The sequence below is a fragment of the Homo sapiens genome, chromosome 2, assembly GCF_000001405.40.
Source record: "Homo sapiens chromosome 2, GRCh38.p14 Primary Assembly".
Classification (NCBI taxonomy): domain Eukaryota; kingdom Metazoa; phylum Chordata; class Mammalia; order Primates; family Hominidae; genus Homo; species Homo sapiens.
In genome coordinates this window covers 136,842,845-136,860,219 of record NC_000002.12, presented here as the reverse complement: position 1 = coordinate 136,860,219, position 17,375 = coordinate 136,842,845, and the positions used below count along the sequence as shown (strand labels likewise).

At 37.8% G+C, this 17,375-nt stretch overlaps 1 protein-coding gene across 1 annotated transcript in view, besides 1 other annotated feature; it reads right to left on the bottom strand.

The window, feature by feature from the left end:
* THSD7B (thrombospondin type 1 domain containing 7B) overlaps nt 1-17,375 on the bottom strand; it is a 912,174-nt gene that overhangs the window by 817,499 nt on the left and 77,300 nt on the right. The window lies entirely within an intron of this gene.
* Nucleotides 11,841-12,076: a silencer, noted in NCBI's record as "fragment chr2:137605714-137605949 (GRCh37/hg19 assembly coordinates)". NCBI's record gives its function as "represses an EF-1alpha promoter that drives an FKBP-Casp9 reporter gene in an ReSE screen in phorbol 12-myristate 13-acetate-treated (for megakaryocytic differentiation) K562 erythroleukemia cells {active_cell/tissue: K562(+PMA)}" and the evidence as "EXISTENCE:reporter gene assay evidence [ECO:0000049][PMID:32094911]".

Genomic DNA, 17,375 nt, shown 5'->3' with positions numbered 1-17,375 from the left:
AGTTCTCTCATTCTACTGCCCTGGCCTCCTAAGATACCATCCTCAACTCCTCAAAAAAATCATGAATTCAGCTACTCGGGAGGCTGAGGCAGGAGAATGGCGTGAACCCGGGAGGCAGAGCTTGTAGTGCGCCGAGATCACGCCGCTGCACTCCAGCCTGGGCGACAGAGCGAGACTCCATCTCAAAAAAAAAAAAAAAAAAATCATGAATTGTTTTCTCGAATCTACTCCAATGTAAAACTGGGATCCACACTTAATTCCTCCAACACCAGTTTCTGGAATGATTTGGTTTCTCTTACTGTTCTCTCATCATCCACTGATACACAAAGGGAAAAGGGATGGTCAGTCCTGCGCTCATTCCATTGTAGTTCAGCTAATGTGTCTCAGGTCTTCCTTCCCTTCACTCCTGACACTTTCAGTGCTGGGCTGCTCTTTTGGGGCTATACTACTTCTCTTTTTAAAAAATGCCAAAGAACTTACAGTAATGCTGTTTCTGATGAACATAAAAACGCACTGTGGCCAAGTATGCTTGACCATTCAAACTGCCTTTTGGACACACAGAGAAGGGGCATACCTTGCACACACCAGCCACACCAACCTTCTAGTCACCCCCTTCATATCTCATCTTATTTGATCACTGCCACTCGCTCTTCCTTGGAACTCATCTCTAGGAACTTTGTAAATTCTTCTACTCTCTAAGTAGCCTGTTCCTTAACTCTTGGTTACTATAGTTATGATCTATTAGCACATCAGCACAGTGCTTGTTAAACTTGGTCAACTTTGAGTCTATCTTCTCTCCACCAGATTCAATTATTCGAGAAGAGAATTTTTAATTCTAGTTAAGTGGCTTTTAAAACAGATACATGCATAAAACTTACCTCCCTTATAAAAATATTCATAGACATGAAAAGGCCTCATTTCAGACACTTTAAAATTGGTAATGTTTGTTCCTTTTTAAAATGATAAAATGATGGTTCATCAAGATTAAGTGATTTGTCTAAAAGCATTGTTCATAGTGAAGATGTTCATAGTGAAGACTTATGACTCCTGGTTTAGTAAGCTGTTAACATCTCACAAGTACAGAAATAGTAAGTTGATTGGTAGCAGGTGCCAACAGTAAGACACTACTAATCCTAGAGGACATTAGTTCATTGATCTTTTCAGCTGAAACAATCTCATATTCCTTCCCACACGTGGGAAAGAAACAGGAACTGTCAGCCCAACCAGCATTTCCAGGAAGGTCATAAGAACCCAGAGTTCAAACTGTCTCTCTATTCCCGTAATTTGTCCTTCCCTGCTGTCACTCCCATTATGGTTCAATTAACAGTGGAAGCCGGGAGCAACTTGATGAACATCTGTCGCATCCGCCTGGAAATAATTCAATAAGGGCGCACCATGGGAAGATATTATGGGACGTCTGCTTAAGTTTTTTTCCATTTTCACACTGGGTGGTAAAAGCAATTCAGATAATGGGAGGGAAAAGAGTACCTGATCACCTGGAAATATTAGGTCAATTTCCCAGTGTAGCAATCCAACACATATTTGAAAGGAATATAAAAATAATAACAAATGGCTTGGACTTATGAAGCTACATGTTCACAGTGGCATCACTATTTTAGATCATATAAATAAAATATGGTATTGGCAGAAGCTACTGTCAAGTAAAGTATCACTATCTAAATAGTGTGTATTGTGTAAAAGAAGACATTTTTGATGTATTACCTAAGCATTTCACAGGATGCCCAAGGATGATCTGGAAATGGACAGAAATGCAAAGGACCATTAGCCTTATATTGTGTGGCATGAATAGACAATGGCAATAACAACTTAAGAGAGCTGAGAATAAACCACATGTCAGCATGTCTGCAATCCCCACATTGGATAGAACTATAGATTATTTTTACAATGGGCCTTATTTGTTGATTTTTTTCAAAGTAGACATTTTCAATCCCCAAAAGGAAGGATTCCAGAAACAGTGAAAATATGCTGCCCAAGACTAGAATGCTATTTATTTAATAATCATCGCTTTAAATGTATTTTTAATTAACATATCTAAATAACTAATCTCTGTTCACTTGCATCCTTAATTATTTTTCTCCAATGCTGTTTTCAATTATGCTTGTAAGACATCTGTTTGTAATGCTATTACCATCCAAAATAAAGAGTTTGGTTACTAGGCTTAGGAAGAAAGGCTACAGACTCTACAAACATTTCAAATAAAAAAAGAAGGCAGCCAGTGCATAAATATAATTGCCTTCCAGCAGTACAGTGGGTAGTAGACAGAGGAGAAAAACAACTATTCTCTACAGATGCTAGAACAGCAAGGAATGGGTTTAAACTGCTGATATAAGAACCAGAATTTAGTTTAAAAGAGGAAAAATGATAAATCGATGTTCAATAGTGACATGAACACTCTTTGTTCCTCAAATTATTTAAAAATGCAATTATTATGTGAGATTTTGTTGGAGTAGTCATGTATGAATTTAGCAACCCAGATCTGAACCTTCAAATCACTACTTCAGATACACATAATTCTGTCTTCACTTGATAGCCCTGGATTTAAGTAAGCTTAAATTCATTCGTGTGTGTGTGTTTGTGTGTGTGTGCATGTGGTGTGTTACATATAATGAATTATATAAATTAGCAAATTTTACATAGCTATAGAACCACATTATAGACATTGAATAAGATAGATCCAAATGTAAAATTAAACAAGGGAGAGAAAAGACGGGATGCCTAGGACTTGGTAAAAGAACATCTGCTTTAACACTTTGGCAGTTAGGGAATAAAAAGCACAAGTTGCTGCCACTTTCAGCCATTTACTGCTGCATCTGGTGGGAACGCAGGCATGTGGTTACCATGAGTGCACAGTCCCAGTGGGATCAGAGTGGTTCCAGCCCAAGCCTGAGTCCAGGGTGGCCATGCCCAGTGTCACATGGAGAGCCTGACCCTGGTGACCCAAGGACAGATCATTTTGTTTGTTGTTAAACATGTAAACTTGATCATATAACTTCATGAATTCATATTTCCAAATTGGTGGCAATTTCAAATCAATATAGCCAATTTAAGTTTTAATTTAATGCTTATATAGCAAATCATTTTTATAAAAGGTAAGTCATGTTCCTGATATTGTAGAAATGAAAACAGTCAAAATGAAAACCAATGAACTAAAATGAAATTTTCAAAACAGAATTACATCATATCAAGAAACCAATCTAGGTCTCTATTCTAAAGGAATAAAAATAAGAAAAGTAAAATTAACTAAACTTCAGAAAAGTTGTTTATGAAATCTTAGATCACTTTCTCTCTCATTCTCTTTCTCTCTTTGGGAGAAAATACTAAACTGAAGATTCAAGGAAAACAATTAACAGGAAGTCTGAACACTAGTCAAATATCCAGCTCATGGCTGGGTGTGGTGGCTCATGTCTGTAATCCTAGCACTTTGTGAGGCCAAGGTGGGCAGATCACCTGAGGTCAGTAGTTCAAGACCAGCCTGGCCAACATGGTGAAACCCCATCTCTACTAAAATATACAAAAGTTAGCCAGGCGTGGTGGCGGAATCCTGTAATCCCAGCTACTCAGGAGGCTGAGGCAGGGAGAATTGTTTGAACCCAGGAGGCAGAGGTTTTGGTGAGCTGAGATCTCGTGATTACACTCCAGCCTGGGTGACAGAGTGACTCTGTCTCAAAAAAAAAAAAAAAATCCAGCTCATTATAATGGAGTGATCTGTGTCTTCAAGAGCTAAGTAAATTGACCTAAGTTCAAGAGAGAATTTAGTAGTGACATTAAAAGTCATTTTAAAGAAAATTTGGAAAGAAGCATGACACTGAATGCAATACTAAGACCCTTTTGATGAAACATAACAAACAAGCACTGGCCTCAGCCTGTTAAAAAGGTGGTTGAGATGTGTTTTGGAAGACCCCTCAACCTTTCCTAACAGTCCCATCCTCCCAACTCTCTAAATGCCCAAGTTTATCTGATTCCCTCTTGCTAATGTGGGAATCATCCGTTCATCAACTCATTCAACAAGCCAGAGTCTACCATATGCCAGTGACTGTCCAAGAACAGAAGTGCCCTGCTCTTCACTGACATACAGGAAATTAAGAACTAAACAAATAATTACACAAAATTATTCCTGAAAGTGATAAATGCCACTAAGGAAATGAAAAAGTGTGGTGTAATAGAAAGTGCTTATGGGAGTATGAACGTAGGTGGTGGATAGGGAAAAACTTCCTTGAGAAGGTGACATTCAAGTTGAGACTTAAATGGTAAGAAGGAGCCAGCCATGTGAAGATCTGGGGAAAAGGAGGGGGGTAATCCAGGCAGAGGAAAGAGTTTGCAAAGGCCACAGGAGAGGGTGCACTTGGTGTCTTTGAGAGCAAAATGGTGATCCTTGGAGTTGGATCATAATCAATGAGGGAGGGAGTGATAAGAGAAGAATGAGGGAAGCCCGGGCGTGATGGCTCACGCCTGTAATCCCAGCACTTTGGGAGGCCCAGGCGGGCAGATCACCTGAGGTCAGGAGTTCGAGACCAGCTTGGCCAACATGGTGAAACCCCGTCTCTACTAAAAATACAAAAAATAAATAAATAAATAAATAAATAAATAAATAAATAATAAATAAATAATAGCCGGATGCGGTGGCACGCACCTGTAATCCCAGCTTCTCAGGAGGCTGAGGCTGGAGAATCACTTGAACCTGGGAGGTGGAGGCTGCAGTGAGCCAAGACTGTGCCACTGTGCTCTAGTCTGGGCCACAGAGTGAGACTCTGTCTCAAAAAAAAGAGAGAGAAGAAGAAGGGAAACAGGCAGGTGCCAGGTCATAGACGTCCTCTAAAGTCATGTTAAGTAGTTTGGATATTCTAAGGTAAAGGAAGCGATTTTAAGATTTTGTGGTGAGAGTAGGGTGGTGTGTGAATAGGGTAGAAAGGTGATATGATCTGATGTATACTGGAAAATCCATATATATATATACACTCAAATTTTAGTCAAGATGTACCCACTCTTCACTTCATACATGTAAATAATATTCAAGTCAAAAAAATGCATACATAAATATACAGAAAACCAAAGAGATATATCTCTATAAAGGAGACGCGAGTAAGGCTAAAGCCATAAGCATTCTCAGTTCCATGACTGGAAACAGGCAGAAGGAACCACAAATCCATCAGAGGCAGAAAGAAAACTAACAATGCTTACATATCACAGCAGACCACATTGAGACTAATTATTTGAAGCCAGTGCCTGGGAAAGGGCTTCTTATATTTTAAAGAGAAATTTAAAAAGAATAAAACCCCTTGCTGCCCATCACCTGGGGCAATGGCTTATAGGAAAACATGGGGGAGAGAGACGCTACAGATACTAGCAATCAAGATCTGAAACATGGTGCCCAATGATTCTGTGGTTGGATTTCCCACATCCCAAGTATCACCATGAGCTGGGAGCACAAAATGTCATCATAAAACCCTACACAGAGAGAGCTAAGTAAAGACAGAGGAAAAACACTGTTGAACTACTTCTCATTGAAAGTGATCTAGTTGCCTTTCCTTTCACACTTTCCGTTCCCAACTTATCTTTCTTTCTTATCCCTTTCCAGCCTTAGCAAAAAGAGTGTGCATAGAAGCAGGACAATGGAGGACAGTTAGTGCTGTGCTAAGGCCATGGTGCTGTGCACTTGAGAAAGGGATGGAACAGAGCTGGGGGCCATGGGAGGACATCACTAGAGACAGGCCTGATGGGGAAGGAGTGCGGGGTGGTTAGAAAGTTGTGTAGTTAAGGAAATGTGCCCACTTATGAAGCAAAGAAGTAAATCTATGAAAGATAATAAGAGCCATTTCTCACTCTCTAAGAAAAAATTTATAAACATGAATAAAAGATGAAAATGAATCCCAAAATTTTCAACTGGAGTTGAGAACATTGGTATAAATTCATAGAACAAAAATACATGCATATAGAAACAGATATGGATGTATGCACATATGTAAGTGTGTGTGAGAGTGTGTGTGTGTAAGTATGTGTCTGTGTGGTATTTTATTCCCCCCCAGCTGTTTCCTAAGAGGGCCTAGAAGCAATGACATTTCACTACCAATGTGCACACTGAGTAACCTGATCTGGTATTGAAATGCCATCCTCCAGGAATAAATAGCTAATTCTAGGCTGAGTTAATAAATATACAAAATGATAAGATGAGCCTAGAGCATCCTGTTGTGCCAGAAAGTAAGAAAACACTCAAAGATTGGGTGGGATGGAGATATGTTAAAAGAACACAAATCAGCTTGAAGAGGTACCTCTGGCCAAATCTAGGACAGTTTAGGCATCACACACACACAAACACAAAACTAATGAGAGTACATAATTATACCCTGTTGAATAAATAGGAATCCACGAGTCCATATAATTAAATAAATGATGAGATGGAAGGGAAAATTATTTCTCACAATAGAATGCTAATCTGCAAATGTAAAAAGAATGATAGAACTAGGTAATCACCATTTGGCAATTACAATAGTGGTAGTTAATTCAAGAAAGAGTCATCAATGAATGCCAAGTCTGATAAATGAAGGTTTGGCATAATACGGCAGTATCTCCCCACAAAATGTTACTCAAACACAAAGGTAAAGAGGTCATTTTAAAGGTAAAGTATGTAGAGGCACCATCTTGACCAGGTTATCAAGGTTAGCATCACCAGTATTGGATGGGTCAGCATTGTGTGCCTCCTGAGATTAAGCAACAAGAATAGCATAGAATCATTTCTATGGTATCCTGCCAAGAATGGATGGCTGGAGTTTGGTCATGGGGAAACACCAGACAGACCCACATTAAGGTTTATCCTACAAAATAAAGGCCTGTACTCTAAAACTCTTTAGGACATGAGAGATAAGAGAAATATGGAGGAACTGTTCCCATTTGAGAGAGACTACTGAGACCTGACGACTAAATGAAACACAAGATCCTGGATTCCATATGGACCACAAAGGAATAAGAGACATTGATAGGACAGATGGGGAAATTTGAGTGAGGTCAGCAGAATGGAAAACAGTATACCAGGGTTGATGTCCTGAACAGAGGGCTGTACAGTGGAATATAAGAGAGTGTCCTTGTTTCTGGGTGGGAAACAGTAGAGTATTCACAAACACACGCACATGAACACATACACACACATGCACATGCACACACACACATGCACACACACACACATGCAAAGTGGTGGGATGGGGAAATATATAAAATGTTAACAATTAGGGAAACTGAGTGATAGGAAGGCAGAAGTACTTTCAACCTTTCTGTAGATTTGAAGCAGTTTCAACATTTTTAAAATCATATACAATTTTTTTAATGGAAATGCCAAAACACATGAAGAAATTTAATGGTATGAAAGACAGCAAGTTCTGTTCTAAACAATCAGAACTTGAAATCACCAAAAATAAAATTAATTTTGTGTGACACTGCAAAAATAAAAATATTTAGAGTGCTCTTTTAGTTATAAAATGAAAATAGTTTTTAATACAAAGATAAATCATAAAGCAAAGACAGGCATAAGTTATATTAAAAGAAAACATATAAAAGAACAAAATCAAAACCACAGCAATTGTATTAGTTTTATATTGCTACCATAACAAATAATCACAAACTTAGCAGCTTAAAACAATACTCATCATCTAACAATTTTTGTAGGTCAAGTCTCAGTTTGGTGTGGCTCAACCAGTGCCTCTTCTCTGAGTCTCACAAGACCCTAAGGCATGGTGTTAGCAAGGCGGTGTTCCTCTCTGAGGGCTCTGTGGAATAATCTACTTCCATTCAGGTTGTTGACAGAATTCAGTTCCTTGTAGAAGGACTGAAATCCTCCCCTGTGGTTTTTTGGTTTTTTTGTTGTTTTGTTTTGTTTTGTTTTGTTTTGTTTTGTTTTGTTTTGTTTGCCAGCTTTCAGCCCAGGACTGCCTTACCTTCTAGAAACAAGTCTCTATTTCTTCCACATGTCCCTTTATAACTCAGAATCCTTTCCCTACTCAGAATCTCTCTGACTTCCTCACTTCGTTGTATCTCTTCTGCATTACTCTTCTGTCACATCTCTCCACTTTGAGCCAGAGAAAGTTCTCTGCCTTTAAGGGCTCATCTGATTAGATTGGGCCCATTTAAACAATCCAGGATCATCTATTTTAAGGACCTTATATAATCTTAATTAAATCTTCAAAGTCTCTTTTGCCATATAACTTATCAACAGGGAATAAGATATGAGTGTCTTTTTGGGGCCCTTATTCTGTTACTACAAATATATATATATATATAGTTGTGTATTGAATTATTGGCCTCAATTCTTCATCTTTCCCTGTGGTTAGATCCTTTGTCACTGATTTTGAAATTCCTCCCACAATGGCAGGATATTTCCACATCCTTTGAGGATATTTCCACATCCCTTGATTTGGAGCTTAGCCAATATGAATTACTTTGTCCTGTAGAAAAAGGCTGTAACGATACAAGACTAGGCCTTAAGAGACTTCAAGTATTTCTATTTGCCATCTTATATCTCCAAAGCCATCATGAGAAAAACATCCCTCTCTAGGCCCCGGTTCAAAAAACAGTAGAGGCAAATAGAACAAAGTCACCCCAGTTGAGTGCAGCCCAGATCAGCTAATTTCCAGCTGACCCACTGACATGTAAACAATAATAAAAAATAGTTTTAAGCTACTATTTGGATAGCAATTTCATTTGCAACAAGACCTAACAATACAATGACATAAATGTTAGCCTAAAAGTAGTCAAAGAAAACTTTAAATAAATCAGAAAGTATTACTGGAGAATTTACACAGAATCCAGGATACAAAGACAAAAAGCAAAAAATAATGGCAAGGTGCTGCTGTTAAGAGACATGGGGAGTGGAATGAAGAGCTATATACCATGCAAATGATAGCAGAAAGAAAGAATAAAGAAATGGTGGACAAGAATACTTATAGCAGATGAGAATAAAAGAATGGTATAAAAAGATAATTATAGAAATAAGAGATGAGACTTCGCCATAATTTAGGAAATATACGAATCCTCAAATGAAAAGAATATGTTAGGTATCAAGCAAGATCATTAAAGATAAATTCATATTTAGATATACAGAAAAACTGAAGAACACACCAATATATTTTTGAAAGACAAAATTTTCAGAAAGAAAAGTGAGATGACCAGAATAATAGAAAAATTACTCTGATGGCAGAGTATTCATCAGCAACAAAAAATCGTGCAGCAATATCTTCCAATAGCTGAAGAAAAATAAATTTAAATCTCTCATTTTATAACCAGCTAAATTATCACTCCTGGCTGAGTTCAAAATAATGATAGTTTAAGACATATAAACACTAGGGCTTTTAAAAATTATTAAAGGATATACTTCCAAAAGAAGAGAAGTAAAAATAAAGGGAAAATGTAGGACATAAGCAATAGTGAGCACAAAATATTCATGAAACTACATTATTAAATTAAAACTATAATTAAATATTAGCTATAAAATAATTATTTTTGCTTAAAAATAGGTAGAAACTATCCTGTATTCATTGCCAAGCAACAAATGGAAAAAAAGTCCCATATCATTAGTAATTAGGGAAATTAAAATTAAAGCCATACTCACATTTTTTTTTTACACTTTCAGCCTGAAAAAAAGTTTAAAATGCCTGCCATTTAGAAGTCTTGCAACAAGAAACTCTTACAAGCTGCTAATGGTAGAGTCACCAGAACAACCCTTTTTAAAAATTGACATCACTGAGGGAAGTTTGAAGATGTATATTTTCTTTATCCCTGAAATTACACTTGTTTTATATCATTTGCTTTACTTTTCTTTTAGGCAATATTAGAGAGGTCTTTCCAATGTGCTCAAAGAGAAAAATATACAAAAATGTTCACTGTTTCACTGTTTTCCATGGCATAATATTGAAATGACCTAAAAAACCATTCAGAAAAGAATGGATAAATAATTTTAATGTACTCATACAATGCAGCATTATACAGTTGTAAAAATTGATAAACTAACATTGTATTTATTGACATAGATAAATCTCAAAACACATAAGATTAAGTGAAGAAGCAAATTGCAGAATGATACATAAAGTATGAAACCATACTTTATGGCTTCATACCATAGAGGTATGTTTAAAAATGTCAAAAAATATATTTTATAAAAGCATATATATGCAGTGATAGAATTAAAATATATATTAGAGTTATTATAAACACCAAATAAAGGATACTGCTTAACTCAGCAGAGGTGGAAGGGAACAGTTTTAGGGCAAAAACATAAATGACTTCCAATGTAAAAGTAATGGTAGGATATTAAAAAACCTTTTGAAGCAAATATAAAAAAACTATTAAGATTTGATAAAGCTAGGTGGTTTATGCCTAGGTGTTATATTGTTTGTTTTACCTTTCTGTATGTCTCTAATATTCTGTAACAAAAATATCTAAACAATTTTTCTAAATATTATTCAGGTTATTTCTCTAGAGAATGAAATGCAATCTGGAAGGCTATTTGAGTGCATTAGCCCTCCCAGGGGTGGACATATTTGCAGAAGACAACCAGAGAGATCAAGGCTATATTTACTGCTATAATGCACTAATGGATATATATCAGACTCCCCACCCCCTGCATGTTTCACTAGGAGCTAGGATGGGGACAGGACATCCCTGTTCCCCTCAAATCTCTCTAGCAAGAAGATTTTCTGTTCTGCCCATCAGTAAGTCTGGCCATAGTTAGGCACAATTAGCAACTTTAATAGCATTTAAGATCAGGCCATCTCAAAGCTTAGAGAAGCAACATGGTGCCTTGGACAGAGTACAGGTTTAGATGGCAAAAAGACTAGCGTTCAAATACTCCTTCCCAAGTTATTTAGTAAGTCCTTTAATCTTCTCAATGCTTCAGAATTCTCATTCTCAAAATGAGTTTAGCATTACTTTACTGGCAGAGTATAGTGAGCAATAAACGAAACAACATATAAAAGCTATGGCACCTACTAGGCACTCAACATGTTAGTCTCTTAAACTTCCTTCAAACAACATTGATGTAAGCAAAGACAAAATGCATCAGAAACCAGATGTATCAGTGGTGGTAAGGGGATGTGTTTTACAATAAAGAAAATGCAAGTCTTTACAATGTAAGATATCAGATTGCATATGTATTTGAATAAGTCAGGTGACATTTCTCAGTATCAACCTCCTCATCTTGGAAATGGGAATTAAAAAATTTAACTTGCAGGGTTATTAGAATACTCAGAGATGCCATAAAGTGCTAGGCTCAAAAAGACATTCAATAAACAGTAGCTGCTATTGTTGCTGTCAAAATTATTATTGTCTAAAAACTGAGAGAGAAGGGAGTAAAAGAGGAAAAGAAATTGGGAATTTGTGATCACAGAGTGAGAAATTAATTATGAATTTTTAAAACACCAAAAGTCTTGTTCAATTTAACATGTCTCTAAACAAACTTTCAAGAGAATAAGAACATTTCATTCTCAATAAAACTTTGCATAACTAAAAACCCCTAGAGCTTTCTCAAAATGATTGACAGATTTACTTCTAGGCAAAAATTGGATTAAAAGATACAATAAATACTTAGGTTTTAAGTCTTCATTGCCCCTCACAAATATATTCAGGAAATCATAATAAAATCTAAAATTATGATTTTCAAATTAGAGCTATTTCTTGAAAAATTATTAGAATTTATATTACACACTTAATTTAGCATCTGTCTTTTTATCCTATGTTCTTTTGCTAGTTTTCAAATCTCCAAAACTGTATGTTATATCACTGGCTGTCAGAATGTGGTCTCTGGACCTGCAGCATCAACAGCACCTGGAAACTTGTTAGAAATGCAAATTATAGGGCCAGATCCCAGCCCTACTAATTCCCAAACCCCAAGAATGAAGCCCAACAATGTTTCACAAGCCTTCCAGGTGATTCTGATGCATGCTAGAGTTTTAAGATGCACTGGGCCGCCTAATAGTAAATTCACAGCTTCCAAATCTTGAGGAGACTAGCACAGTGTTATCTGTAGTGCTCTGACCACATTTGACAGAGAAGCACTGTACAATGTTGTACAGGAATTGTGCACTGTATGAGAAACCTGGATTAGAAGACCTCTAAGATCTCTTACATCTTTGATGCTACAAATAATGGTCTCTGTATTTGCAGAAAGTGCTTCAAAACAGATAGCAGATTCCATATGATGATCTTTTAAGTCCCTTCCACCCCCACAGTGAGAGACAACCCAGTATGGTGTGAGGGGAACCTTTAAATGCACACTGGAATCTTGGCAAATGTTTTCTCATAAGAAGGGAGGAATAAGGCTAAGCTGGGCTGCATGGTTTTAGAATTCCACACCCTGTGCTTCTGATATATTCATTCAAACTAAATAGAAGCCTGAAGTAGAGAAAGTATCCTGCCAATGTGTAAGGTAAACATTAAAGGCAAGAATCTCAAAAGACAAAGTTCTGCTTACATGCTTTTTGACCTGCTTTTGAAGGGTGGGATGTAGGTAGACTGCCTTGGTGGGCGCTGACAGAAAGACCCTGTCAAGCAAAGGGATTCTGTGTCCCTATAGAGAATCAGCCAGCAATCATATGCAGTCATACAACTCTTATCCAAGGTTGCCACAAAGAAGTATCTTAAAAGAAATAGATTCTGTCTATGAAAAAATCCAGATATATAGTCAGCTTTTTCTAAACTGGGCACTAAGGACTTTATCAGAAAGCCATGGGGCCCCTCCCAGGAATACCCATAATCTTTGCTCCATGAGACAGAAATCACCCCCAAACTTTCCAAAATATCCTTTCCCCTCTGAGCCTGTAATCCTATCCAAATAGAAAGAGGATTCCCGATTCTAAGAACTGCTTTCCAGAGTGTTCTAGATAAAACTAAAATCAAGTAATCCTTAATGCATATTCACTTCCATCATGGAAAGTCCACCACTCTGAGATCCTATTGACCAAATCTGATTTTCTCATTCTGCATTTATTCCCACTTCTCCCTGACTTTATTAGCAATACTGGCCCCTCGGCCAGTAACAGAGTCCTCTCTAAGTGGGGTAGAAGGCTTCCTTTCCGGACGTTTATTCCAAATCAAAGCAATTCCATTTACTATTTCCATCCAAATGAAGATGTGTTCACAAGGCATCTTCATTCCCACCTTTAATTCAGCTGTAAAAGTCTTCTAGATTGGAAAAAAAATAGAAAAATTATATTCAATGAAAGATTTTTCAAATGTTTCTCCTGTGGCCAGAACTAAGCTTTACATAAACTCTAAATAACCCATATGATTACACACAGACCCAGGAGAATATATAAAAGATGAAGTCTCAACTTTTCATCACTATTTTTATTATTGATATTTATTGCATATCAATAGAGTCCTAGGAAATAGAGTTGCTAGTAAATCCTAATGCTGTCCTAAAGGTAATATGGAAATCTGTGTATCGTAAAACCCATACAGTGCTTCAGTGGGTGATTTTCTTCTGCACCTACCAAGCTCTGGTCATATTCCTGCTGAATTCTACATTATACAAGTAAAAAAGTTATATCCTAGTAGGGCAATTTTCAATGTATAATTATAATAATGCCCATGTTGCCTGCACTCTGTATGAATTACTAAGTAAGGTTAAAATGGAATCACAGAGTGCTTTTCAATAAAATTAGGGCATCCATAAACGATTCTTATGTTAATTATTTAGTATTAGCTTCATACCTAAAGAAAATCAGGCAGGTACTGGGGTGTTGCTCCTGCTTCTCATAATATATAAATTTTATTATCAAATTACTGTAGCAGAAAGTGTTTTCATTTCTTTAATGAACAAAATGATCACATTTCCTAGTTATGACTCCTTTCCCACACAACACTAAGCATGAAAGGTAATCTTAAGAGTGGCTTCAAGACATCTGCTCAGTACCTGGTGTCTCCTTAGTTACCCAACCCAGGGTACGATAACCCAGGGTATGAGTGTGATAACCAAGGAGACAGAAGAGGCAGTGACTCAGGAACCCCAAACTCTCAAGCCAAATTGCTGTGGATGTTGCCATGGAAAATGCAACAAAGACCTCATTTTATCTGGAAGACTCCACACCCCACCCTTGATTCAACCCCTGGGGTTAAGCATCCATCATTAATACAAATAGAAAATCCCTTGCTCGTCTTGGGAAGTCTAAGGAGTCATCCCTCAGCCAAGATGAGGGACAGTGACAGGAAGATGACCGACTACCCCCTGTGCTCACCAGAGCCCCTCATCAGTCCATCCACACCATGGCCAGTCACGGGAATGATCCCAATACCCCTTTTGTATAAACAACATACTGTGGGAGCTATATCATATCTCAAGAAATCAGTGGAAACTTCTAATTTCAGTTTCCAAATGTTCAGGAATAAGTTGTGATGAGGAATGAGGAATAACCTCTCTCTTCAAGTTCATGCTTACAGACTACTTAAATCTAATCTAGAAGAAACAAACAAGCACATCTTGCCTTAGTATACTACCGCCACTCCTCTCCTAAACCAAAGTTCATAATAGGTTAGCACAACATTCCAGCCTGTAATTGCTTACATAACAGTGCCTTTCTGATGTTCTTCCTTTCTCATATGAAACCCCCAAAATGAAAAGAATTTATATTTAAACAATGACTTGTACCTGCCTCAGTTATGCTCTTATGATTAAATGTTTTATGGGGCAAAATAAATACATAAACAAACCAGGGTACAAAATCTTGTTAGAAAGCTTATTTAAAATCTGCACACCTCTTTCTGCCACACTGTGAAATATGTTTCCCCAGATGCTGCAAAGTTAAAAAGAAAAACTTCTTTTGCTTATCACGGCTTCTCATCCTTCCCTGAAGCAGAATTTAGTATCAAGGCCAGGTCCTAAATTCTTGCACTGCCTTTTGCACTAAGCATAATAATGCCCACTGTTACCCTTTGATTGAGCTCTTCATGTCTTCCAGAAGCCTCCCTTTACCGCTACGCTATTCATATCTTCCAATCCTTTCACCTCCTCCATAGGAATGTGCCCAGATGCTCCAATGCACAACAGTCTCTCCCTTTTCTGAGGCTTCACAACATCTCTAGAGAATTACAATCCTGTTGGCCCTCCCAGATCCAAAGCATGTTCTTTTCTCCCTCTGCCCTGGATCATGTCCAAGGTTTGAGTTAATAAGTCTCTCTCCAACTTCCAGTTATCTAGAAGCAGATGCAAATGGCGTTTGGAGCACAAGACATTTACTAGGTATCAACACATATGAAAGGAAGAAGGGTGAAGTGAGCAGAAAAAGAAAGTGAAGTGCAATTCAGGCTTGTTAAAGTGTTGGCAAACCTAGCTTAGAGCTTTGGAGAGAATATTGCTTATTAAGAGCTATACCACCTTGCACTCTGATGGCTAGGCCTTTACATGTTCTCCTACCTCTCCAGCTGTGGGCTGCCCTGAACTGGGCATGACCTCAGGCAAGCAAGCTCTCTGTAGCTAAGACAGATTGAAAGAGCTGACAGTTGGAGGCTGTCTAACCACACTGCTGCTTCCTTCCTGAAGGAGAGCTCATCTCCATCTCCACGTCTGCCTCAATAGTCATCACCTATGTGTGCTCAGATCCAATCTTAGCCCTTCTCCAAATTACCTTTCATGAGTTTCCAATTCCCTTGCTAGGCTTGGTCATCAGGAGACAATGAAAGGAGGTTGGAGAACAAAAGAAAAGGAGAAACCAGAAAACCGATCTCTCTGTCTCTCTCTCTCTCTCTCTCTCTCTCTCTCTCTGTTTTGGGTGGCCTCTCCTCCTTGGTGCCAGCTTTTGCTGAAAAATCTTGCCCTAGGTAGATACAGATGCAGCATCCAATATGCAGGACAGCTGTAATTCCAGCTTCCACCAAGTGGCCCCAGTTCCTAAGCTTTTGCAACACTTCTCCCTCCCTTGTTCCTCTGGATTTAGGAATGCTGGTAGCTTTCAGCTGTTGCCTCATAGTTACCACATTGTCCACTGATTGGCTTCTCCACTCTTCCAACACCTACGTTAACCCCTGTGTTAAATTCTCTCTATTTAGGTCTCTAGAATAATTTTGGTATACCTGACTGGATCCCGACTAATAAAACTTTATCAGAATCAAAACCACATGTACAGGCCCAACATCTGAAAAAGATCAAAATCACAAAGCTCTGCCTAAAGGGGGTTGGAAGAACATTGCTTTCAGTCTGAGAGAGGCCTCTGGCCTCTCAGAGTATAGTTTGAAATCCCTGTGGATGATTCTTAAGTGTGATGGTATACACTGCCCCCAGAGCTGGGTACAGTGAATAACTGTTGGATCATGGAATTATGTAAACTGGAATAAATCCATAGTGTTCAAAGGATTCTGTGTTCCTAGGAGAACAAGGAGTACCCCCAGAACCCCACCATATGACAACACATCAGAGAAGCAGCCACCCCAAAACTGTCAGGGCACTATATTTGGGACCCTTCTTTGCCTACTCAGTACAGAGAAACATCCTAACTAAAATATGTACCATTTACCTGCAAATCAGGTAACAAGTGACTGCACATGGATCAGCTGTAGATATCAGTAAAAGTAGATGCAAGCCACCAGTACCACACTGAGCTCACTGTTGGTTCTACACATGCCTGTCTCTTCCATCGGAGTGTGGCAATATCTCTGTCTTATTTATCAGATTCCACCCCTAAGAAAGTACAAGACATAAACTAGATTCTCATTCCTGTACTCTTCTCTTGAATGGTAAAAAAGTTTTATGTAATATTTTTTTCTCCATTTTAATGGCTTCCCTATGCATGTGGTGATGGTTATGATGCAGGAGAAAAGAACAATGGACATTCACGAATACGATTCCATTATGAGGGATAAGCATGTTAATATAAGTATCATCAGAGAGAAATTTACATAAGCCAGGATGCCTCTTGGGAAGTGTAAGAAATGTAATGTTTGAACAGACTTAATAAAATTCTAACTTTTCTCCCAATAGACACCAATAACTGTAACAATGGGACATTGCCTTACTTCCAATGAATGATTACCCTCGACAATAGAAGTATAAACAGTGCTCTTAAATCTGTTAAGTTTCACGAAAGAAAAAGCAATGCCGTATTTGGAAGCAAAGGAAGGAAGCAAAAAAAAAAAAAAAAAATGAAACCACTCGATACGAGTGAACAGTTATTTTGGTTATTTTGCTCAAATTCAAAATTACAATAACATTCTTCTGGAAAGGGAGACCATGCCAGTCAGTACCTGATTAGAGTACATTATTCAGAAGGGGCAAGGAAAGAACATTTATTGAACAATTAAAGTACATGAAAGACTGTGCTTCATGTTTTCACCTGCATATTCTTGTTCAATTCCTAAAACAAATCTGAGAAATAGATTCTCATCCC